At 39.9% G+C, this 26368-nt stretch overlaps 1 protein-coding gene across 14 annotated transcripts in view, besides 1 other annotated feature; it reads left to right on the forward strand.

Annotated features, from left to right (window-relative positions):
• ADGRV1 (adhesion G protein-coupled receptor V1) overlaps positions 1 to 26368 on the forward strand; it is a 605641-nt gene that overhangs the window by 26414 nt on the left and 552859 nt on the right. The window lies entirely within an intron of this gene.
• Positions 19927 to 20125: a silencer, noted in NCBI's record as "fragment chr5:89900954-89901152 (GRCh37/hg19 assembly coordinates)". NCBI's record gives its function as "represses an EF-1alpha promoter that drives an FKBP-Casp9 reporter gene in an ReSE screen in K562 erythroleukemia cells {active_cell/tissue: K562}" and the evidence as "EXISTENCE:reporter gene assay evidence [ECO:0000049][PMID:32094911]".

Raw genomic sequence — 26368 nt, forward strand, 5'->3', positions numbered from 1 at the left:
TCACTTACATTGAGTGTATAAAAAATTCAAGGGTAAAATCTGAGAGAGAATTTTCTGAGGAGAATTTTCTGAGGAGAATTTATATTGGGAGAACTGTGGGGGTGCATCCCCTGTCCCTCTGCCCCTCATGTGTATCTGTGCATCATCGTAAGTGTGGTGAGAAGGGCTTCAACAAAACCCCTTGGAGAGTATGATTTTTTGCTTCAAGACAATGACAAAAGTCCTGATCTATTACTGAGGGAATTAAGGAGGCCTAGGGTTGTAGGATGGAGGGCGGAGTCTGGATAAACTGTATCACCTCCCACAGCAGGGCAAATGGAAGTGAGCCCCAGGGCTGGCTGTGAAACCTGTGGTAAAGACGTTAGCCTGAGGTCATTTTAAAGGGATCCTGCCCAGAGGGCAGCCTGTCAGGGGAAGGGGAGCCCAGGAGTACATTGCTATGGGCATATTGTCAGAAGCCATATTGTCAGAAGCTGAAATTGAAGGAGATCTAGATTAGTCAGCTGAAAGAGAAGCAGTCCCGCATGTTAGGATTGAAGTTGATGGGTCCTGCAGTGAGACCTCTGTAGAGACTTAAAATTCCACTACAATGATTCAGCCAAGGACATAGAGAACGAAGCCATCTTATGGCAGTCCAGTCAAATAAGAACCTTTCTAACCTCTTCTCAGTTCTGATCTTATTCAACCCTCACCTTGCTCTGTCCTTAGTGGGGATGGGAAACCAGTTGGCCAGCCGAGTGAGGAAGAAAAGTATCGACAGGCAAAAAGAAAAGATGGACAATAACTCTTTCTCCAGCTGTAAGCCACCAGCTTGCAGCAGTCCCTAGTTGGGGCAGAAGAAGAGTTAATGTTAAATTTAAGTTAGAGCTTTGATTATTATGTGGAGTGTGCCATTAAATATTTTTATTATAAAAGCTTTCCAACATGCACAAAAGTAGAATAGTAAAATGAGCCCCTTTTTACCTCCGACTTAGAATTAGCAATTATCAAGATTTTGCCATACTTGTTTCATGTATGTCTACATAATATAGAGTGCAGCTATAAAATGTATGGATATTTTCCTACATAACTACAGTGCTTTTATCCTACCTAGCAAAACTAACAATAATTCCATAGTATTGTTCAGTAATAAGTCCACCTTCAAATTTCCTTGATTGTCTTGAAAATGTCTTTTTATAGTTAATTTATTCTAATTAAAATATAACTAAGTTGTAGATAGTTTATCTGACAGTAGTCTTCTTGGCATCTCCTACCCACCAACCAACAGTGATTTGTTGAAGAAATGTGGCAATTTGTCCCATAGAATGTCCATGTTCTGAATTTGTTTGTTCTCTTTTTTGGATTACTTCACATGTTTCTTTAGCCCCCATTTTTCCTGTAAACTGGAAGTTAGCTCTAAAGCCCCAATTAGATTTAGGTTCTGCTTTTTGGGCAAGAATGCTACATCGGTATGGTGCTGTGAATTTCATATTGCATCACATCAGGAGGCACACCGTGTCTGGCTCTATCACTTTAGTGACATTGGGATTCAGCAGTGGGTTCAGGTGGTGACAGCTCAGTCCTTTCATTGTTAAGTTTCCCATTATCTTTGTATCTAATTGTTTCATCCATGCATGCTGGCTTCCTTGATTATTTTACTAGGAGTTACAAATAGGTGCTTTTCTAACTCTGTCATTCTTACCTCATTAGCTGGAATTTTTCTGTAAGGAAAAACTTTTTCCTTAACAACTTGGCTATTTGGTTACCTGGAAAAGGAGTTTACCTAGGATAGACAGGATAAATGTTTAATTCTTTCCCTTTAAATATTAATTTCAGAGTAAGTAGTTTGTGCCCTAGTTACCTTCAGTGGTGGCCATTGAACTGACTTTCTTTCCATCTTTCTTTTCATCCCTATGAACATATGGATTTATATATTCCACGTGTTTCAAACAATCACATTCATTATCCCTTTAGATACTCAAAAATTTTAATCTTTAGCCAATGGGAACGCTTTCATGTTTCTCTTGTGACGTGACCCCATTACTCTTACCTGGTTTCCTTGCTCAAGATGTTCAGGTTTATTTTGCATATTTCTTTCCCCAGATACCAGTCATTCCTCTAAAAAGTGCTGCTTCCTTGTAGTGGGGAATGATGGTTAGAGGCAAAAGTCTGGGCCCTTATGATCCTTATTGTTATTGAGTTGTCATTACTTGGAAGTCTTTTTAGTGGACAGAGCCAGGAAATATGTATTTTTTACAAAGAAAAAAGTCATGACGTGATACTGATATTTCCAGTTTAAATTTAACCTTACAGAAACTTTACATGATTTCTTTGATGATTTTATTGTCATTTCTCTTTTCTGTGTCTTTTTTTTTTTTTTTTTTTTAAATGGAGTCTTGCCCTGTCATCCAGGCTGGAGTGCAGTGGTGCAATCTTCGCTCACTGCAACCTCTGCCTCCCAGGTTCAAGCTATTCCTCCTGCTTCAGCTTCCTGAGAAGCTGATACTACAGGTGCGCGCCACCATGCCCAGCTAATTTTTTGTATTTTTAGTAGAGATGAGGTTTCACCATGTTGGCCAGGCTGGACTTAAAACTCCTGACCTCAAGTGATCCTCCCGCCTCAGCCTTCCAAAGTGCTGGGATTACAGGCATGAGCCACTGTGCCCAGCGTGTTTTCTCTTAAGTAATTATTATTTGCTCTATCCTACAAAATGTATAGTTTCAAAATATATATCTACAGTATATAAAACGTGGTTTCAAAATGTATATTCTATAGCATAAACATTTAATTTCACATAATTATACTGATATTACCACTGAGAATATTTAATGAAATATAAGCTTTCTTTACAGCTGTATTTGTCCTTAGAATTTATTCTACTAGGTATAGACAGTGAAAATACTGTATTCTATAGCCACTAGAAAAATTTATGTCTGTGCTATTATCACTACTTTATATTCAGTTGCTTTATTTCAGTTATTTGCCAGTATATATGCATTTACTTATAAAAGAAACGTTGGTGACTTAAAACCTAGTAGAAATGATTATCTATAGAGGGAGGAAAAGAATGGGTAAATGGAAGTGAGCATTCTCTGAATATACTTTCTTATATAGGTTTAACTTTGGATTCATATAAATGTGTTATATATTTAGAAAGTAAAAATGAGATTAAAAAATCTTCACCTGGAGATGCCAAATAGTCTCATGGAGATAATGAGTTTGGAATTTAGGGGAAGTTAGGAAATTTTTGGAAGTTAGGCTGGAGATGTAAATTTGGGAGACGGTATTTTAAATTACAGGTGAGTGAATGAGACCAGAGTGAGTCTGAATGTGGATGAAGCAGTCTGAGCCTGAGAAGTGATACGTCCCATGACGTAGAGGTCAGAAAGAAGGCAAGGGTTCAGCAAAGGAGGCAGAGGGGCTTCTAGTGAGGTGAGAAGGAAAACCAGAGGAGTGTGGTGTCAGGAAGCCACAGGAAAACGTGACTCAAGAAGGAAGAACTGACCATGTGCCCTCCCACTCACTTTTTGTATTGCTATCCTTTCGTATGTTCTAAACCACAAATGAATATCTAAAGAGTCATAAGAAGTAGCTGAAGTTAGGGAAGCGGGGGATATTTAGAGTGGGAGGGTACAACTCTGATAATGGGAAAGTGAGTCCAAGTGAGAAGTTGAAGTAAACCAATTCATTGAAAACTTTAACTCGGAGCCTAACTGCCTCCTTATAACCTCAGAATTCTCAGCTGATTTTGCAACTTAGATGGAAATCAGGAATTAAAAGAGCATCAAACTAAAATTTTCAGTCAGAATAATAAGAAGCTAAAAGTATTGTCTTTCAAGAAACACAAAGAGAAAAATAAAGATATCTTCTATTTTTTTAAAGGCAATTGATTAGCCTAAATTTTTTGATTGAAGGAAAAGACAATTATCATGATAGAAAGTGAGGGTGGAGTGGGTGGTATAACTTCAAAGTGTTCTGCACGCTGGACACATTGATCAAAGGCAAAATAATAAAAGAGGGAAGTCTGAGGAGTCATTACATTATTACAAAAAGACTCCCCGTATTTCAGTTTATGACACCAGAGTTCCTAAGTTGAAGTCAAGAGATGAAAGATACCATAGTTGATGCACTCAATGAATTCTGTTAATGGCTTCCTTTTCACTTGTGAATTTTCTTCAAAGGTAAGTTTTAGGTACAAAGGATTTCACAGAAGGATGTGAAATACATGCATGTGGAGGGAAACTGGCTTCTCTCCTCAAGCAATGTATTATGGCTGAGAAAGAAAGTGTGGAATGGAAGAAAAGTGGGGAATGGTAAAAATACAATAGATGATCTGTTTTTTGTTTCAATGTCTATATGCTTGTGTTGATTAAGTGATATTTTTGCCTTTTTTATTTTATAAAAACATTTGACATGTATGAAACATGTTAAGGAGTTCCCTGTTTGCTTATGGGTGGAGAAGACATTAATCTAATTCTAACTATAAGGTTGTAATTAAGCCCTGGGTGTTTATACCCACAATTCAAGTGCTAGATTCTGGGTGTTAAATGATCTTAGTTTTAAGGTTTTGGTTCAGAGTTCTAATTTCTGGAATTTTGCTTTTCAAAAACAGCATCAGAAATGACCAAAAGTAAAATATATTCAATGTAGAAACTATGGAAAACATAGAAAAGCACAAAGAAACACCAAAATTACTGAAAAACTCTGTACCTAAAGGTTGACCACTGTTCTTCCAGTGCTTTTCTATGGATATACTCACTTATATACATAAATATATTTGTACATTTTTTTCTATTTTAATGTAAAATATTCCATTTTAGATTAACATGCTGCATCATGAAACTCATTTAAAATATACCTTGATATTTTATGATATGACTTCCCTTATTATTTTAAATAATTATAAGAATTAAAATGACACGTTTTGTTGTATTTCATTTGAGGAATTCATGTGTATTCAAACAGCAGGATCAGAAACAGAGATATTTTGTTATCTATTGCTATGTAAGAAGCCATGTCCAAACTTAGTGGCTTAAATTAATTTACGATGATTTCTCACAGGTCTAGGGTTTGAAGGACTTAGCTGGGCTCTTCTTCCTTGGGGTGCATCATAGTTGCAGCTCGATAACGGCTGAGGCTGATGTCATCTTACTGCTTAATCATTCATGTATCTGATGTCTGAGTTGTGATGTCATATCTGGACATGACATGTATGGATGGCTGGAGGCTAACTAGATATGTCTCTTTCCATATAGCCATTCCATGTGGCTAGCTTAGGCTTCCTGAAAGCATGGCAGTCTTAGGTAGTCAGATCCCTTATACTGTGGTGCCTTCCTCTGGGGCAGGCATTCCAAGAGGACTGGGCAGAAACTTCAAAACAACTTAATGACGTAGCTTCAGAAGACCAAGAATGTCACATTTCTACTCCATTCTTTTGGTTTAGCAAGTCACCAAAGCCCAGATTCAAGGGGAGAGGACTTAGACTCCATTCTCAAAGTGAGGAGCACTAAAGAATTTGCAGCTACCTGTAATCTATTAAAAGTGGCCCCATCCAATTTGAAAGTATAATAATACACTGTTATTTTAATGTTCTGTAACAACAGACATATCTGTCATGTTATATATTCATTTAAATACTATTACTGGAAAAATGGCACTTGTGTGTTTTTTTAAATAAAAATGCTGTAATAGTATTTTTGTATTGTATTTATCCTACTTGTTACCCTTGAACACTTCCCAGTGTCTGTAGTTTTCATAATTTTTTTAATTTTTAATTTTTGTGGTTACATAGTAGGTGTATAATTTATGGGTTACATGAGATTTTTTGATTCAGGCTTGTAATGCATAATAATCACATCAGGGTAAATGGGGTATCATCACCTCAAGCATTTATCCTTTGTCATAAAATATTTTTAATGAGGCTGAGCATGATGGCTCATGCCTGTAATCCCAGCACTTTGGGAGGCCAAGGTGGGTGGATCACTTGAGGCCAGGAGTTCGAGACTAGCCTGAGCAACGTGGTGAAATCCCGTCCTTACTAAAAATACAAAAAATTAGTCAGGCCTGGTTACAAGCCATACTTGTAATCCCAGCTACTTGGGAGGCTGAGGCATGAGAACTGCTTGAACCTGGGAGGCAGAGGTTGCAGTGAGCTGAGATCACACCACTGCACTCCAGCCTGGGCAACACAGCAAGACTCTGTCTCAAAAAAAATATATATATATATTCATATTTTTCTGATATATCACTTCTGAAATTATGTAAATATTATCTACTGGTTAGATAAAATAGTTACTATAATAATGACAAAATAATTGTTCACTTTAAATTGTAGGGGGGTTAAGCAAACCAGTATACATTATAAACAGCTAAAATAACTAGAGATTTGCTAAAGGAAAGGCATAATTGCTAATGGCTCAATGCTTAACTGACCACTAGGGAATTGTAAATGATTGAAAAAGTCAACTAATCCGGGACACTTAAAGTGAATTATTGTGTTAGTAGCTAAAAATACTTTGAACCTGAAGTCCCACTTGTTGAAACATTCTTTTAGTAGCTATGGTTTTGTTCATGTAAATTGGGTGAATTAATAAGAATTAATAAGAATAACACAAGTTATTGAATGGTTAACATAACTTAGGCATTGCGCTAAGTATATTACATACATTATTTCAGTGAATCCTCACAACTACTCTTTGAGGTGGGTGATTTAATTTCACATTTTCAGATGAGAAAACAGGTTTAGAGACACAACTGAGATTTAGAGATGCTAAGCCACTTGCCAAGCTAACTCAGATAATAAGGAGTGATTCAGGATGTAACTTAGGTGATGTAAACTCAAAACAAATGTTTGGACTATGGAAAACAGTGTGGAGATTCCTTAAAAGTAGATCTGCCATTTGATCCAGCAGTCCCACTCCTGGGTATCAACCCAGAGGAAAAGAAGTCATTATATGAAAAAGATACTTGCACATGCGTGTTTATAGCAGCACAATTCGCAATTGCAAAAATATGGAACTAGCCCAAATGCCCATCAATCAATGAGTGGATAAAGAAAATGTGGTATATATGTTCCATGGAGGACTCAGCCATAAAAAGGAATGAAATAATGGCATTTGCAGCAACCTGGATGGAATTGGAGACCATTATTCTAAGAGAAGTAACTCAGGAATGGAAAACCAAACATTGTATGTTCTCATTCATAAGTGGGAGCTAAGCTATGAGGACGAAAAGGCATAAGAATGATACAATGGATTTTGGAAAGGGTGGTAGGAGGGTGAGGGATAAAAGACTACACGTTGGGTTTAATTAGATCCCATTTGTCTATTTTGGCTTTTGTTGCCATTTGTTGCTTTTGGTGTTTTAGACATGAAGTCTTTGCCCATGCCTGTGTCCTGAATGGTATTGTCTAGGTTTTCTTCTAGGAAGGAACTTCTGCACAGCAAAAGAAACTACCAGAGTGAACAGGCAACCTATGGAATGGGAGAAAATTTTTGCAATCTACCCATCTGACAAAGGGCTAATATCCAGAATCTACAAATAACTTAAACAAATTCACAAGGAAAAAACAAACAACCCCATCAAAAAGTGGGCGAAGGATATGAACAGGCACTCCTCAAAAGAAGACATTTATGCAGCCAACAGACACATGAAAAAATGCTCATCATCACTGGTCATCAGAGAAATGCAAATCAAAACCAGAATGAGATACCATCTCATGCCAGTTAGAATGGCGATCATTAAAAAGTCAGGAAACAACAGGTACTGGAGAGGGTGTGGAGAAATAGGAATGGTTTTACAAGTTTGATGGGAGTGTAAATTAGCTCAACCATTGTGGAACACAGTGTGGTGATTCCTCAAGGACCTAGAACTAGAAATACCATTTGACCCAGCAATCCTGTTACTTGGTTTATACCCAAAGGATTATAAAAAATCATGCTACTATAAAGACACATGCACATGTATGTTTATTGCGGCACTGTTCACAATAGCAAAGACTTGGAACCAACCCAAATGTCCATCAATGATAGACTGGATTAAGAAAATGTGGCACATATACGCCATGGAATATTATGCAGCCATAAAAAAGGATGAGTTCATGTGCTTTGCAGGGACATGGATGAAACTGGAAGCCATCATTCTGAACAAACTATCACAAGGACGGAAAACCAAACACCACATGTTCTCACTCATAGGTGGGAATCGAACAATGAGAACACATGGACACAGGGCGGGGAACATCACACATCAGGGCCTGCCGTGGGGTGGGGGCTGGGGGAGGGATAGCACTGGGAGAAATACCTAATATAAACGACGAGTTGATGGGTGCAGCAGACCAACATGGCACATGTATACCTATGTAACAAACCTGCGCATTGTGCACATGTACCCTAGAACTTAAAGTATAATAATAATTTTTTAAAAAGAGTACACATTGGGTACAGTGTACGCTGCTTGGGTGAGGGGTGTATCAAAATCTTAGAAATCCCACCAAAAGAACTTACTCATGTAACCAAATACCACCTGTTCTCCCGAAACCCATTGAAATAAAAAAAATATGTAGTATTCAAAGAAAAAAAATCTTTTATCATTAACTATGATCTTGGTAGGAGTTTTTTTTTGGTACAAGCTTTTTATCAAATTAGCAAATTCTCTTGTATTCCAAGCATGCTAAGAATTTTATGTTTTTTACATAACTTTCTTGATATGTAATTAAATTAAAATAAACTTCTTATGTTTAAATTGTACAATTTGATCCACTACCACAGATGTATACATCTGCAAAAACATTACTACAATAAAAATAGTGAACATTTTTATAATCCACCCCTCAAGCAAACACAAGTGTTTGTAAGTCTGTGTAATACGATTTCTTCTTGAAATAAAAAAGTATAGATTGGTAATTTGGAATATGATTAGGTTTAGGGTAGAAGAGGATGCAAAGGTAAATAAAATATGACACACTTTGTTATGGTGTGGCTGTGTCCCCATCCAAATCTCATCTTGACCTGTAGATCTCGTAATCCCCACATGTCATGGGAGGTACCAGGTGAGAGGTAATTGAATCATGGGGGCAGTTACCTCCATGCTGTTCTCATGATAGTGAGTGAGTTCTTGTGAGTTGTGATAGTTTTATAAGGGGTTCTTCCCCCTTCGCTCAGCACTTCTCTCTCCTGGGACATGTTTGCTGCTTCTTCTGCCATAATTGTAAGTTTCCTGAGGCCTCCCCAGCCATTCAGAACCATGTGTCAATTAAACATCTTTCCTTTATAAATTACTCAGTCTCTGGCAGTTCTTTTTTTTTTTTTTTTTTTTTAATCATTCTTGGGTGTTTCTCACAGAGGGGGATTTGGCAGGGTCATAGGACAATAGTGGAGGGAAGGTCAGCAGATAAACAAGTGAACAAAGGTCTCTGGTTTTCCTAGGCAGAGGACCCTGCGGCCTTCCACAGCGTTTGTGTCCCTGGGTACTTGAGATTAGGGAGTGGTGATGACTCTTAATGAGCATGCTGCCTTCAAGCATCAGTTTAACAAAGCACATCTTGCACTGCCCTTAATCCATTTAACTCTGAGTGGACACAGCACATGTTTCAGAGAGCACAGGGTTGGGGGTAAGGTCACAGATCAACAGGATCCCAAGGCAGAAGAATTTTTCTTAGTACAGAAGAAAATGAAAAGTCTCCCATGTCTACTTCTTTCTACACAGACACGGCAACCATCCGATTTCTCAATCTTTTCCCCACCTTTCCCCCCTTTCTATTCCACAAAGCCGCCATTGTCATCCTGGCCCGTTCTCAATGAGCTGTTGGGCACACCTCCCAGACGGGGTGGTGGCCGGGCAGAGGGGCTCCTCACTTCCCAGTAGGGGCGGCCGGGCAGAGGCGCCCCTCACCTCCCGGACGGGGCAGCTGGCCGGGCGGGGGGCTGACCCCCCCACCTCCCTCCCGGACGGGGCGGCTGGCCGGGTGGGGGGCTGACCCCCCCACCTCCCTCCCGGACTGGGCGGCTGGCCGGGCGGGGGGCTGACCCCCCCACCTCCTTCCCGGACGGGGCGGCTGGCCGGGCAGAGGGGCTCCTCACTTCCCAGTAGGGGCGGCCGGGCAGAGGCGCCCCTCACCTCCCAGACGGGGCGGCTGGCCGGGCGGGGGGCTGACCCCCCCACCTCCCTCCCGGACGGGGCGGCTGGCCGGGTGGGGGGCTGACCCCCCCACCTCCCTCCCGGACTGGGCGGCTGGCCGGGCGGGGGGCTGACCCCCCCACCTCCTTCCCGGACGGGGCGGCTGGCCGGGCAGAGGGGCTCCTCACTTCCCAGTAGGGGCGGCCGGGCAGAGGCGCCCCTCACCTCCTGGACGGGGCGGCTGGCCGGGCGGGGGGCTGACCCCCCAACCTCCCTCCCAGATGGGGCGGCTGGCCGGGCGGGGGGCTGACCCCCCCACCTCCCTCCCGGACGGGGCGGCTGGCCGGGCGGGGAACTGACCCCCCCACCTCCCTCCCGGACGGGGCGGCTGGCCAGGCAGAGGGGCTCCTCACTTCCCAGTAGGGGCGGCCGGGCAGAGGCGCCCCTCACCTCCCGGACGGGGTGGCTGGCCGGGCGGGAGGCTGACCCCCCCACCTCCCTCCCGGACGGGGCAGCTGGCCGGGTGGGCGGCTGACGCCCCCACCTCCCTCCCGGACGGGGCGGCTGGCCTGGCGGGGGGCTGACCCCCCCCACCTCCCTCCCGGATGGGGTGGCTGCCGGGCGGAGACGCTCCTCACTTCCCAGACGGGGTGGCTGCCGGGCGGAGAGGCTCCTCACTTTTCAGACGGGGCGGCTGCCGGGCGGAGAGGCTCCTCACTTCTCATACGGGGTGGCTGCCGGGCGGAGGGTCTCCTCACTTCTCAGACGGGGCGGCCGGGCAGAGACGCTCCTCAACTCCCAGATGGGGTGGCGGCCGGGCAGAGGCGCTCCTCACATCCCAGACAGGGCGGCGGGGCAGAGGCGCTCCCCACATCCCAGACGATGGGCGGCCGGGCAGAGACGCTCCTCACTTCCTAGATGTGATGGCGGCCGGGAAGAGGCGCTCCTCACTTCCCAGATAGGATGGCCGCCGGGCAGAGACGCTCCTCACTTTCCAGACTGGGCAACCAGGCAGAGGGGCTCCTCACATCCCAGACGATGGGCGGCCAGGCAGAGACGCTCCTCACTTCCCAGACGGGGTGGCGGCCGGGCAGAGGCTGCAATCTCGGCACTTTGGGAGGCCAAGGCAGGCGGCTGGGAGGTGGAGGTTGTAGCGAGCCGAGATCACGCCACTGCACTCCAGCCTGGGCACCATTGAGCACTGAGTGAACCAGACTCCGTCTGCAATCCCCGCACCTCGGGAGGCAGAGGCTGGCGGATCACTCGTGGTTAGGAGCTGGAGACCAGCCCGGCCAACACAGCGAAACCCCGTCTCCACCAAAAAAATACGAAAACCAGTCAGGCGTGGCGGCGCGCGCCTGCAATTGCAGGCACTCCGCAGGCTGAGGCAGGAGAATCAGGCAGGGCGGTTGCAGTGAGCCGAGATGGCAGCAGTACAGTCCAGCTTCCGCTCGGCATCAGAGGGTGACCGTGGAAAGAGAGGGAGAGGGAGACCATGGGGAGAGGGCGAGGGCGAGGGAGAGGGCGAGGGAGAGGGAGAGCGAGAGGGAGAGGGAGAGTGAGAGCTCTGGCAGTTCTTTATAGCAATATGAGAACAGACTAAACACACTTCTTAAAACAAAAACAAAAAGAGTGGTGGGTGGTCTTTTTAGTTATAAGACAAAGAATAATATTACAGGTGATTTATAAGAGAGATATGATCAACTCATCTTCACTATGTGGACACAGGACAGAGGCAGAGGGTAGTTGGGAGGTTACACTTAGTTTTGGTTTGATACATGTTTGAGGGACTGGTAGGACATTTGTTTGGAGATGTGTAGAAGTCAGTTGAAAGTGTGAGCAGGATTGGGGATTTATTTCTTTAACAAGAATTATTGCCACTATAATCAAAAGTTTGCCAGAAACTTCGAGGTAGCTCAGTGGAAGTGTTTTGATAGCTGACAATATGAGTGTTGTTCTGCAGGATGTAAATATCAATGGGGAAAGTTGTTCTGTGGCCATTATAGATTTTGGAAATATTGAATAAAAGTTGTATTCTTTTAGGCCTACTTAGGGTTTGTTATAGACTTTAGTAAGTATTTTGAATATTTAAGAAGGTTATTTAGTATCTGCACAAATGTATTTCCTAAATGTATTTCTAACAGAATTCTTTCATCTGATCAAAATGTGGGCATAACATTGCATAGACCACACTGGGGAATATTGGTTGGAACTTAAATGAAAGGATAAGAGTTGCACTGGGAGACTTTTACAGGGACCAGGCAAAGCTGAGATTGCTCAGAGGACAGGGTTAAATCTGATATTGAAGGGAAGGAGGGAGTTGAAGTGGAAGCTTGAAGAGGAAACCAGGCTGAGAATGGGAAGTTGTTTGTAGGTAAGAAGAGTGCATTCGTGGGATGAGGAGCAAAGGAGAGAGAGAAAGAGGGAGAGAGAAGAGAAGAGAGGAAGAAGAGAAGAGGAAGATAAATTAAGAGGTAAAATCTTAAACATGAAAGAATGAGGTCAGAAGCATAGATGGTGGGTTATTCTTAGAGAAGAGTATGCATGTTCCATTTTTGGAGACAGTCTATGGAGATAGAGATGGATAATTTTGAGGGAAGGGAAATAAAATCTTTTAAATGTTTGAACTATTACAAAAGTTTAAGGGTGGACAGTTAATATTGATGGGGAATCTGATGCAATAATGAAAGCAAATAAGAATAAACATTCTTATTTTAAATGTATGAAGATATACTATTCATTTTCAGTAACTATTCACGCGGTAGTGTGGAGGGCGTAGTTGGGAGGCAAGAATAGATTTAAAAAGGATTTACTTTTTCTTAGGAAAAAACTCACTGGAGATGGAATCCTATTTAAATGCCTTGATTTTCGTCATGTTTACTGCGGTATACCCACGCCTTCAATTATGCCTGGCAGATAGTAGAGACTCAGTGAGTACTTTTTGAATGCCATTGAATGATGAATGAATGTTAGACACAGCCACAGCACATCAATAGTGCCCACATGCCACACATGGCTTTCCTTTAAGCTCTTTCAAACTTGTGTCCATGAACGAAAAGACTAAGCTCTTGAAAAGACTTGGCGCTAAGCCCTGTAGCCAGGGAGAGCTGCTTAGGGACCCTGTGGGCTAAAGATAGCACTAAAGAAATGGCATAGGCAGTGGAGCGTTTCTCCTCTGAAGAAAGCACATACAGAGTACGTGCTGACCCGTGCCAGGAGTTGGGGCTAGCGAGGCACATGGGACACAGCCTGAAGTAGCAGGCCTGGACAGATGGAGGAAGACTGGCTTAAGACAGGGCATCAGGTACCGGAGCTCAGTGGCAGCTGAAGTACTGTAGTCTGGGAGACACCAGACCTCCTTTAGGAATGCATTAGCCACTGGAATTCTTAGAGCATACAAGTAGGGGAGCTCCAAGAGGTAAAAATGGATTTCCTGCCAGTGTGATGCATGGCGTCTTGAGTAGGATTTAATTTAATTTGGAAAATAACGGAGTGCTGACACATTTGCACCATGGGTGTTGTGGACTAGTTCATACTTGTTACATGCTAGGGATACCAAGGAATTAATAATCTTCGTTACATCACAGCTATAAGACAATTTTAATCAAATCTATCAATCTAACCCTATTATCCCTCCAATCCCAGCAGAGTACTGAAACACAGTTTGGGCTGCATTTAAAACAAAAAAACCCACCAAATCCTTTAAGAATGAGAAAAGAAGAGAAACATTTAATTTTGGAATATGTGTAGGTAGTAGCTCATGGCCATAAAAAACCCCCAAAGAGTAGAGGCTTAAGGTAAGAAAAGAAATTAGATGGTTAGAGTAAATGCATTGAGAAAAACACAGGTGTACTTACAAAGTATGTTCGTGAAAGCCAAAAAAGTAAAGCCAATATAGTATTAGGCATTCACTTCTCTGCAAAGATGAATTTAAATCAAACCTAATGAATACCTTATTTAAAATTTTAAATAAAAAATTTTACAAAATGTTTTATACAGCTCTCACCCATCTAAATGATCAGTTATTGATAAACTCTTAGGCATTCCCTAAACTAGAAAATTTTCATCCCTTGACATGGAATTTTTAAATGTTCTGATAGCTGTTATTAACATTTTTATCACTAAATACATCAGTCTGAAATGAGTTTACCCTGGAGTTAGTGTTACTTCTAGAGGGTACTTAACAATCTTCAATGGATTTAGCAAAGAGTATTTTCACATTTGGTTTTTACCTGATTGATAAATGCTTTTGTAATCTTATCAAGCATTATAGAAAGTCATTAAAAATTGATCTTAGGCTTTATCATCTTTTTTTTTATTTATAAACTTCTGTGTAACTAAGAAGCCAGAGAAGCCCAATCTCAGAGATTTTTCCTTAGAGATATAAGCATATCGACAAAACATCGTAGCATACCGAGATGACATGAAATCTCACAAGTTCAATGTGTATGAGGCGGATGGAGAAATAATACTGTAAAGTCATTGGCTTCAAACTTCCTGGGATGGAAATGTTTGTAATCCAGGCTTAGGTTTTACAAGTTTCAAATTGATGGAGGATTGTAGAAGTTGGGGGAATAATAGAGCATGTTCAGGTATTTTGGTTGCAAATTAAGGCTCTTATTTTAATATAATTTTGTACAGTCCTTGAGGCCCTGTGGAAAATTGTTAATTGAAGGGATTGAATGTCTAAAAAATATTAAATATCTTGTTTTAGTTTGGTAAATGGCTCCTGGTAGTGACAATAGATAATATGACACGCAAATACCTTGCAAATGGGAAAGAGGTAGTACTTAGTTGGACCATAAGTGATCTTCCGGAGCTCTGCCTAATTCATTTGAGCATCACATATATATTTTTTATTATTATACTTTAAGTTCTAGGGTACATGTGCACAACGTGTAGGTTTGTTACCTAGGTATACATATGCCATGTTGGTTTGCTGCACCCATTAACTCGTCATTTACATTAGGTATTTCTCCTAATGCTATCCCTCCCCCTTCCCCCCACCTCACAACAGGCCTTGGGGTGTGATATTCCCCACCCTGTGTCCAGTTGTTCTCATTGTTCAGTTCCTACCTATGAGTGAGAACATGCAGTGTTTGGTTTTCTGTCCTTGTGATAGTTTGCTGGGAATGATGGTTTCCAGCTTCATCCGTGTCCCTGCAAAGGACATGAACTCATCATTTTTTATGGCTGCATACTATTCCATGGTGTATATGTGCCACATTGTCTTAATCCAGTCTATCATTGATGGACATTTGGGTTGGTTCCAAGTTTTTGCTATTGTGAATAGTGCAGCAATAAACGTACATGTGCATGTGTCTTTATAGTGGCACGATTTATAATCCTTTGGGTATATACCCAGTAATGGGATGGCTGGGTCAAATGGTAGTTCTAGTTCTAGATCCTTGAGGAATTGCCACATATTTAGCCAGAATAATAAAATGTTTATTTTTCTTCATATCATTGGTAAATTCACACAATTCCATTTTGTGTCAAAAGTAATAAATGAAAGTGAGAACCAGAAAACAGCACATTGTGAACAAAATTAAATAAAGACCTACTTCTTTTTAAAAACAAAAATTAAAAAAAAGATGCATTAAAAAAACATTCAAAATATCCTTTCACTTAGAAGCAAGGGAAAACCCGGCCGAGCGCAGTGGCTCACGCCTGTAATTCCAGCACTTTGGGAGGCCGAGGCGGGTGGATCACCCGAGGTCGGGAGTTCAAGACCAGCCTGACCAACATGGAGTAATTTCGTCTCTACTAAAAAATACAATAATTAGCCGGGCGTGGTGGTGCATGCCTGTAATCCCAGCTACTCAGGAATCTGAGGCAGGAGAATCACTTGAACCTGGCGGTGGAGGTTGCAGTGAGCCAAGATCACGCCGTTGCACTCCAGCCTGGGCAACAAGAGTGAAACTCCATCTCAAAAAAAAAAAAGCAGCAAGGGAAAACGAATTCTTGTAAATAAGCCTTGTGTTAAATAGGAACTCATATCTGTGGCAATAGGCTTTTTAGAATTTCATAATATAACAGACTTTTTAGAATATCATACCACTAGGAACTCCACTTACCAAACCTGAGATGCAGCCAAAACTATACATGAAGCAAAACCGTATCTTTTAAATAATAAAAAGTAACTTGGTTTTCAATTTATGAATCTTAAAAGAATACCGTACTAAACCAATCAGGATAGAGAATTGATAAAGATTAAAAATGAAATTGATGAATTAGAAAACAGAAAAACATTGGACTTAATCCCAGATCAAAATAACCAAATAAAGTCAGTAGTCTTATAACTTCATTTTACAGAAGAGGAAGTAGACTCAGACGTTAACAATAGACTCAAACATTAACAGCCTGCTCATAGTTGCCCTGCTGGTAAGTATCAGAGTACTCTAAGGGCATAGATGCTAGGCTCTGCTGCATTTTTTTCAGTGTGAAGATTGGAATTATCCAACTGGCCAATTAGTCTAAATTCTGGGTAACAGTTTATAGCTTTAATGGCTAGAAAGTGGTTTGCAAGTGATACTGCTGGAGGCTATAATTGCTTGAGGAAGCCAAGGAAATATAGTAAAAACCAGCAGTCATTTGGGGATTGCTGGAGGCTTGGACAATAAGGGTATACAGGCATCACTACAGCCTGGAACATTATGATCAAGAGCCTTATTAACAGAAGAAATAATGAACGTAGACACATGATTTCAGAGAATATTTGAAGAGGAAAATCTGAAATTGTTAATTAGCCTTTTGGCAACACATCTCCATAAATGTATGCTGTAATGATCCTGTATTCCATTAATTCTTTTAGACTCCCGTATGTGTATCCTATTCATCATCCAATTAGATTCCATTCCCAAATTCTGCAGATTTACAATACAACATCCTGACAATGTTTCGATGCCTGGTACAGTTTTTAATATGTCGGTAGATAGATGGAAGGAAGTAAGTTTGTTTGATTTAACGGAAAACAGTAAGAAATTTTCGAAAGGGGAGAGGGGTGCTATACATAATGACTTCCTTCCAAAGTAGTTGGTATGGAAAAGAGGGCAAGAGTAACTTTGCAGTGGAGCACCCTGACAAATACCACCTCGGCCAGGTAACCAAGCTCGACACCAATAGTGATAAGTCATGTTGATAGTATGTACCTTTTGTATAAGTGATGAGAAAGTCTTTTTGCCTTTTTGGTCTTCCCCAAAACCCATAACCCCAGTCTAATCATGAGAAAGTTATCAGACAAATCCCAGCTGAGGGACATGCTACAGAATACCTGACCACATTCCTCAAAAGCGCCAAAGTCATCAAAAATAAGAAAACTCTGAGGAAATGTCACAGCCAAAAGGAGCCCAAGGAAACATGACAACCCAATGTAATGTGGTGTCCTGGATGTGATCCTGGAACAGAAAAAGAAAATTAGCTAAAAACGAAGAAAACTGGAATAAAGTGTTGACTTTAATTAGTCAAATTGTATTATGCTTTGTATTTCTGTTGTGTTTTAGAAATGATTAATAGACATGGTGGTGGCTCAGCAGAAGCTGGGTGGTTAAAAGATTTGTGGTGTTTAAGCCTGAAGAAAGACTGGGCACATGCAAAGTGGTGTGGCAGTGGTTTCCATTTCAAAACACTTTCAGGGCCTCTTGATCTAACTTTTGGTTTCTATCATTTCTTTTTCCTTTTTATTTTCTAAACCTGGAGGAACCACAAATTATTACAGATGAAATACAAACTTTTTTTTCTAACCATGAAAAGTACTGTTCTCCTTCTCTGAGATCATACATGTAGCTGGGAGGGTAGGCATCTGCCAAGTTCCCAGACCTCTACCTGTGCTTCCCATGCCAGTTGCAGTGTGTAGAGGTGGCGGATACTGTGGTTCAAATTTTGGGGGTCATCCAGAACATCAGAAGCCCCAACATTTTGTTCTTTCACATACAGTGTTGTAATTCATTTCTCTTCTGACCTTGAAGTCCATGATGAGTTTTCATTGTTCTTTTAAACTTTCCTAAGTTCTCAATGTTTCCATCTACTTCAAACATTCCTTCACTCTAATGTTGCTACTGTGGAGGGTAGGCAGGAGCTTGTGGATGTATGGGTGGTGCTCATATAAGACAGTCCAGGATGCCCAATGCTGTTTCCTTTGGTCTCTTGACCATGTGGAGATTGAAGGTCTACAGCCTAGAAACTGGCACTTCATGGTGCACAGAGATGGATTCCCTCCCCTGGGCCTCATGACTACCTCAGTGCTGTAGCTTTTCATTTTGCTTCCCTTTAGCAATTGAGGAAACTCAAGGCCATGTGAAGGGAAGTGACTTGTCTAAACTTCTACAGCTGGGAAGATGGCAGAGACTAGATTGGAGCCCAAAGCTGAGTGGAATCAATGCTTGCCTCCTGCTTTGGAGGTGACTTGGGGCCCAACACCCCAGGAGGCACTTGCAGTGTCCAGCTAAAGGTTTCATGGCATCTGTGTTAGGATGCCCATGGAGGTACTGCCAGGAATTCTTCCCATTGTCCTATGAAATCAAAGTCCTGGGACACTGCATGGAGGCATTCCACAAGGTGGTGAGCGTGCATGTGTGTGTACGTGCCTGCACACACGTGTGTGCAGGCACGTACACACACATGCACGCTCACCACCTTGTGAACTGGTTTTCCGCCTCTGAATGACATGGAGATAAGAAATTTCTTACTTTCCTCTTTGACCCTAGTCTGAGGAGACATTAGGAGGGTATAGGAGAGCAAATTCTCTGTCTAACTGGCAGCTACTGCTTAGCTCCAGGCAAGGGATGCCATGGAGAAATGTGGACCCAGATTTGCCAATTCTGGTAATTTTTCAAAATAATCTAGACATCCATTTTTTTAAAATGTGAAATCTACAAATTTTAAATCTTGGCAAAAATGATCTTTTAGTATTGTTTTGTAATCACAGTTTGGACTAAAAAACACATATCTCTAGGCATCTGGGTTTGTAACATTAAATTCCCTCTTTTGCTTTCTTTCTTACTGGCAGTGAGTGCAAATAATTCATTTAGAAAGCATAAGCACCTAGATTCTTCAATAAAAACAGACTGTCTTCAATGAAGAGAAAGAAACTCACAGAAAGTATCCAAAGAAACAATTTTTAAAAATTAGATAATACTACTGAATTTCAGGAGAAAAAAAAAATTTTGTTTGACTAGAGCTAATTAAAGTTGTTTTCAGTGAGATCTTAATTTCAAGAAAACTGCTTTTCATGACTTTTTAAGATCTATGTAGGATTACAAAATTACGTTTGTTTGAGAAGAGTTACAGGGGTCAAAAATCTATCCTTAGATCCTTAAGACCGCTTCATAATATGTGAAATTGTTGCTGTTGATTTTTTTTTTAGACAGACGGGTGCCATCTAATGGTGGTTTAAGAAATCTTAGTTAAACATGTGATCCTTATTTTTTAAAGGACCTAAAAGACAAGAGTTATCTTACTACTTGACAGAGACACTGTCACATACTCAGATTTATAACCTATATGAGCAAACTTTGACTTATTTTATTGCTTCTAAATTGGCCTCAAAGGATTTAGATTAGTGAGATTTTCATTTTGTGCTTTGCAAATGTGGGAGAGAGAAAGCACAATTGAAACCCATAATCTTCTAGAGCTCCACAGAGCTCTGGAATTAAAGCTTCTCTACACTGTTCTTCCTGTTTCCATGGTGGGCATATGTAGTCCAAATATAAACAGCTCGAATGGCTTTTGTGATCTGTTTTTTGATGACTCATGCAAACGGGAGTACATGAGCTCATGGAAAATGTCAAGCTTAAATATTCTAGAAAGAAGATAGAAATCAGAAGTTCAGTTACATGAGTTAAAAGACTTTATGTAACCCCAACACTCTGGGAGGCCGAGGCAGGCGGATCATGAGGTCAAGAGATTGAGACCATCCTGGCCAACATGGTGAAACCTCGTCTCTAATAAAAATAGAAAAATTAGCTGGGCGTGGTGGCACGTGCCTGTAGTCCCAGCTACTCAGGAGGCTGAGGCAGGAGAATCGCTTGAACCCGGGAGGTGGAGGTTGCAGTGAGCCAAGATCGCGCCACTGCACTCCAGCCTGGTGATAGAGCGAGACTACGTCTTAAAAAAAAAAAAAAAAGATAAAAAAATAGAAAAAACTTTGTGTATTAGATCAGATATTTACTTGCCCTGTTTCTGTTATGTAAAATGTTACTTTTCCTGGAAGTATTTGTCTGTACTGCATTATTGTTCATGGAAATGGCCATTGTAGAATCAGTCTTAGTATGTACCATGGCAATTTGTGATATCATGGTTACTTTTCTGGAAAAAATTATTGTGTGTAGGTACATTTTTTGAAAGTTTACAAGCGTAACTCTCACACAAATATAAAATGAACATGTCAAGATTTTATTCAACCCATTAGTTAGTGAGGAAACTAATAGAGTGTTAATACTGGTGCAAAAAGCATTTTTGGAACAAAATATTTACAAGAAAATTAATAAAGAAATGATAAGGTAAGGTTTCTGGGTGAGATGTAAAACTGGTTAACATCCTACCGGGAAATAAAGCTGTAACTTATGGATTATATGTTTCACTGTACAAAAATTACTTGCACTTTTCAGCCAAGTAAAAGGATGATGAAAAAAAAAGAAAAAGAAAGTACTTGCACTTTTATAGGACAAATTTTTCCCAATTTACATGTGACTTCACTAAGTCTGAGATCTTTTATCAATGGTAAACAATTGTTGATTTAACTAAGTGTGTTTTATTGAGTGGTCTGTGCCTTGTATGATCATTAAAAGCATAGTCCACACACTACTTTTTGGCTTGTATTCAAGCTTGGGATACCTTTTTCTTAAAAAATAATCAGACGTTAGCCTCATGTCTGTGCCTATGCCATTGTCAGAGTAAAATAACTGTGTTTGTCTGAATCTGACAAAACTAAATAAGGCAAGGGAGGATGAAGAGAGTCTCTTGCTTTCTTTTTCTATACCATGCTTTTCCTACCTTCTCATTACTCTAAGATGGTGGGTTAATCTATTTCTTTACTTGTTTTTTCATTAAATAAGCATGTCTTGAGGGTCATTGTATACCAGGGACTGTACTAGGTGGTGGACAGGTAAAGCTATTCAAGATGGGCAAGCTCAATGTCCTGCAGGTGTTTTTGTTCTAAGGAGAGAAACACAATAAATGCAAATAGCGACAACTACAAAGAAGGAAACAAAAGGGCATTGTTTAAAAGAGGAATATTAGGCTTCCAGGTAGACATTCGTGTTGGGAATTTATTTATTGTCTCAGCTACACACCATAATTATTGTAGAACTCATCAATAAAATGGCAGTTTCCATTGACTTTCACTACACCTATCCATTCATTCTCCAGGGAAGGGTAGACACAATTATGGTAACTTGCACTTTCCTAGACCACATGTTGTGAAACGTACATCAATCAAAAGTGGTTGCCCTCTACACCTAGGGGGCAGTAGATATCCTGGTATTCCCCTTTATATCATCCTGGGATTTCCTTTGATGCTTTGCTGTGTTTGACTCTTGATTGCTGATCCTATATTTTCTTCTTTCTTAGTTTACTTGGTTTATTCCCTTGTTTAGATGGAGAACTCCCTCCAGTAACATCTTGAGAAAGGGTATGTAGAGACAAAAGTTTTAGGTCTTTTATATTAGGAATTATCATGATATTATCCTTCCACTTAACTAATAGTTTCATTGGGTATAGAATTTTAACTATTACCTTCAGATAGTTACCTTTAATATAGCACTTTACAGAAAAGGGTTTTCAAACAATTAGAGAAACCTGCAAGGACAAAAGGAAGGCGAGAGGAAACAGTTGCAACTCAGTTTTGGAGCCAGAAGGCAAATGGATGAGTAGTGATTCTCTTAGCAGATCCAAGAAAGCTTAGCAGTAAGCTAGGAGGCTGAGAAATAGCCAAATTTATACAGAATAGCCACTAAAGGCACAGGAAATAATAGTATCAGGTACCTTTAAAACTTTGGTGGTGAGTGAGCAACTAGGTGGGGAGAAAACTGCTGCAGGAGATCCTTAAAATCATCATCCCTTCCATCCTGTGCTGCTGCTGACCCCCTGCTTACCCCTCCAAATCTGGTGTTCATTCTCCAGGAAAGGTAAAACAGGATCTCTTGAATGATGATGTGAGCCGTGTTTGTGGGTTAGGATCCCTAAATAAAACAGGGGATTAAGTGACCATATGATGATCGAATTCAGAGACTCCAGTTTTTTACCCCCTTCTACTAGGTCCCAGATGTCCTGGTAATTATATCTGTACCCTTTAGGTGGGAGAATGGAAGATTCTTCTTTGGGGAAACTGATCAATGTAAGAGTAAAGTTTTTTCTGTAGATACTAAAATTGGGACTTTCTAATAAGTGGTTCACTCGTTCACTGAAAGTTGACAAGCCACATCCTTCTGCACATGCTCAGAACTTTCAAGTATTATTTTGGTCACTTATCCTTGATCATATGAAGATATGAAGATCCATATATTCAGAGCATCCCAGTCATCAGTTTAGTCTCATAATTTTAAGTATATATAGATGATGAAGAATTACCAGATATAGAAGACAGATTCCAGAATAAATAACAAATTATTTTTGTTAATTTAGAGGTAACAAAGAATACAAAGAGGGAAGATTTTTTTTAAAATCAGTATTTTCTAAGATACTTTACAAAATCATTGGATTAATGGAAAAATAACAGGATACTGTTAAATTCTTAGAAATTGAAAACGATAGCATAAATTTAAAAATAGTAGGATAATTGAAATTTGATGATGAATTAAATTCTTGGGAAGCAGAGCAAAAATCAAAGAATCGGTAATTAAGATATAAGGAATAAGATATAAGGAAATGAGAAAACTATCCTCAGAATATCAGTGTGAAATAATAGGAGTTCTAGGAGAGAGATCAGTGAAAATGGAGTGGGGGCAGAAATCACTGTGAAATAATAAAGGAAACTTTGTCCGTTTGAAGGTTATGAGTGGCACATTGAAGGGAATTTACAGAGTGTTCATCCAAATGGACAAGAATAAACTAATTCCAAGATGCATCATTCTGAAGTTTCAGAACACTTTACAATGAGAAGAACCTTCCAAAGGGAGGACAACACAAACAATCAGAACGGGTCACAAACACTTTAGAATCAAAACAATTTTAGATTTTTTAGTAGCAACACTAGGAGTTTGAAAACAATGGACTGAGGCTCTCAAAATTCTGAAAGAAAATTATTTTTACCTACAATTCTATACTCAATTAAACCTTTAGTTAAGTGGAAGGATAATATTGTGATAATGCCTAACATACAAGACCTAAAACATTTATCTTTACATAAGCTTTCTCAGGCTGTGACTGGAGGGTGTTCTCCATCAAAACAAGGGAATAAACCAAATAAACTACTAAGGAAGAAGAAAACATGGGATTAACAAACAGAGGATGAAACACAGGAAAGGATTCAAAGAGATTCCAGGATGATAGAAACAAGGATCCCAGGATGACTGTTGCCCATCATGTGTAGAGGGCAACCACTTTTGATTGATGTAGGTTTGATAATATGTGGTCTAGGAAAGTGCAAGTTACCATAATTGTGTCAACTATTCCCCAAGAGTGAATTGATGGGTGTAGTGAAAGTCAATGGAAACTGGCATTTTATTGATGAGAGATACAATGTTGATGGTATGTATCTGAGACAATAAACATATTCCCAACAGGAAAGTCTACATGGAAGTCTGGTATTCCTTTGTTAACTAACATCTTGGAAAGGTGTGCTGATTTCTATAGTCTGTCTTCTGTAGGAATACATATATTTCTGTATATATGTACACACATAAACAATCTCTTGAGAGATATAAATGAAGTTGATAACTGGGATTGACTGTGGGTAGGAGCAGCATATGGCTGGTGGAGGGTACTGTGAGGGAGGCTTATTTTTTACTGTTTATCTTTTTATTCCTTTTAAATATTATGCCACATGCATATATAAGTTATTTAAAGATGAATAAAATAAAATGTATTTCTTATAAATTAAAAATAAATAAAAATAAAGACAAATAACATTAACTACAGTCTGAGTAAGAGACTATTCGTTTTATTTATTACTTTAAAAATGTTTAGCACTTACTCTATTTGTAACATTAGAGTACTTTGCTTTTGAAAGTTGTAAATTTAAATTCTGTTTTGGTTTGGGAGAGGGCAAAGATCATTTTTTTTTTGGTGGTGCTTGCCAAATACAAATAAGACAGATTAAGAATGCTTAGAAGCTGAATAATTGATGATAGGAATGATGAAGCTTCTCTTGTTCCACAGGAGTAATTCTATAGTTTTAGAATGCCCCTTAGTAGATGTAATAGAATTCAAGTAATTCTAAACTTGAAAACCTTGTTCCTTTAGGATCATATTTTCAGTATTAATTACCTGGTGGTCACACCATGGGAAGATGCTTGCTATGGCATTGACAAGGTAAAAGATGAAGCTAATAAGGTCAATGCGTTCATTCAATTCTGCACTAGTAATGTTTGTCTTTTCAGGCCCTTGTCCCATCACTCATAGATACTGTACAGTTGTTTATTCTGAAATGTAAAGAGATAGAGTCAACTTTCAAATTGAGGGAAGGTTTTATTTTTAATCGAAGTCGATTAATGCAAAATTAATTGAATTATGACTTTCTTTCATTGTCTTCTATTGGGTCCTAATTCTCATTTATTTTACTCTCTTCCTTATTCTACTCCGTTTCTATATAGTTATTGAGACATAGAAAAAAAGACTCTTTGACTCTTTCCTTTTAATCAGAATATGCTATACCTATTACATTTCCTAAGGTGCCCATCATTTATTTGAGTCAAGATGGGAGGAAGGTACTGTCCTAGATAAACAGGATTTAGAATTTATTGCTTATAATGACACGTTGTTGATGAATTTTATAATATTTGATGCTCTTATGGGCTACGTAATCCAGGTAAAAAATAAAGTAGGGAAAATAGGAGTAGGTTTTTAAACAGGAACAATAAAGCATCGTGGGAAACAGCAATAGGAATAAATTAATGTCAGACTAATGTAAAGAAGCAAGATATTGGGGTTCCTTGGTGACAATCAGAAGGGGCTTAGCTTTTTCAGGACACTGAGTCAATATGGTACACTCTTGTCCTGCTGTGTTCTATTCTGAAGACATCCTTAGTTTGTCTAAGTGTCTTATTAGTCATTACCAGTTTTGAGGTGGAGGGGAAAATATTAGACTGTGAGTACAGATGGTGGTAATAATTGCATGGGAACAGAAGATAGCTAGCGTGGTGTCCTTTCATGAATCCTTAGAGAAGAATAATACTGTTGAATGTTAGAGTGGGACAGAGGGGACTTTCCACTTTGTTTATCCTAATATGAGTTTGCAGTATCACAAACTGGAGATTGGCGGATAAATATTGATGTTGAAAGTGACGGAAAACCCAACCCAAGCCAGCTAGAGCACAAAACGTAATTTATTGTCTCAGAAACTGAAAACTCTAGGATAAAGCTGGATTCAAGAGCTTAAGCTTGATTATCAAAATGTGGCTCCTTTCATCCCCTTGGCTCTGTGGCTGTGTTTGTTTCATTTCCAGACTGTGGGAGAACTTGCCCCAATTATCACAATCCCAAATACAGTGGTAGAGGGAATTTCCATTCTTATGCTTAAAGGAAAGTCTCCTAATTGTGTCTTCTGTCTTCTTGGCTTTGATTGACCTGATCTGAATGGCCAACCCTATGACTCTGTTTAAGCCAAGGAACATATTTTAAGTATCTTTGTGTTCTCGGTGATTGATGAGCACAGGGCGTTGCATGATGTACAGGTACACAATATACAAATGTTATGTTAAACTGTAAGCTGCTTTTCTGAAAACAACCATTTTACATTGTAAGAGCTGGTCTAATATAGTCCAGATTTTAATTCTGAAATTTTTTTGGAGCAAAATTAGGTGACTTGTTGGAGAGACTGAATATGATTACTAGAATTCAAGAATTTGAGACTTTCTGCCTGTGTGCTATCAGGACTCTGTCAGAACCTCACAGTAGAATTCAGGAAATAAGCAAGAAATTAAATTACATATCATCTTAGCATGCTAAGAGATCTATTAAGAGATAAGGGATATAGTGGAAGAAAGAGTTTTAATTTCTTTTGAATCATACAAAACAAAAGTGAGAGGTGGGAGAAGAACATGGATGATAGCTGGAAATGAGAGGATTTGAATATTGGAATATCATCCCATTAGAGAAGAGGAATGATGTCAGTGA

This window comes from Homo sapiens, chromosome 5 (genome assembly GCF_000001405.40).
Source record: "Homo sapiens chromosome 5, GRCh38.p14 Primary Assembly".
Taxonomy (NCBI): Eukaryota; Metazoa; Chordata; class Mammalia; order Primates; family Hominidae; genus Homo; species Homo sapiens.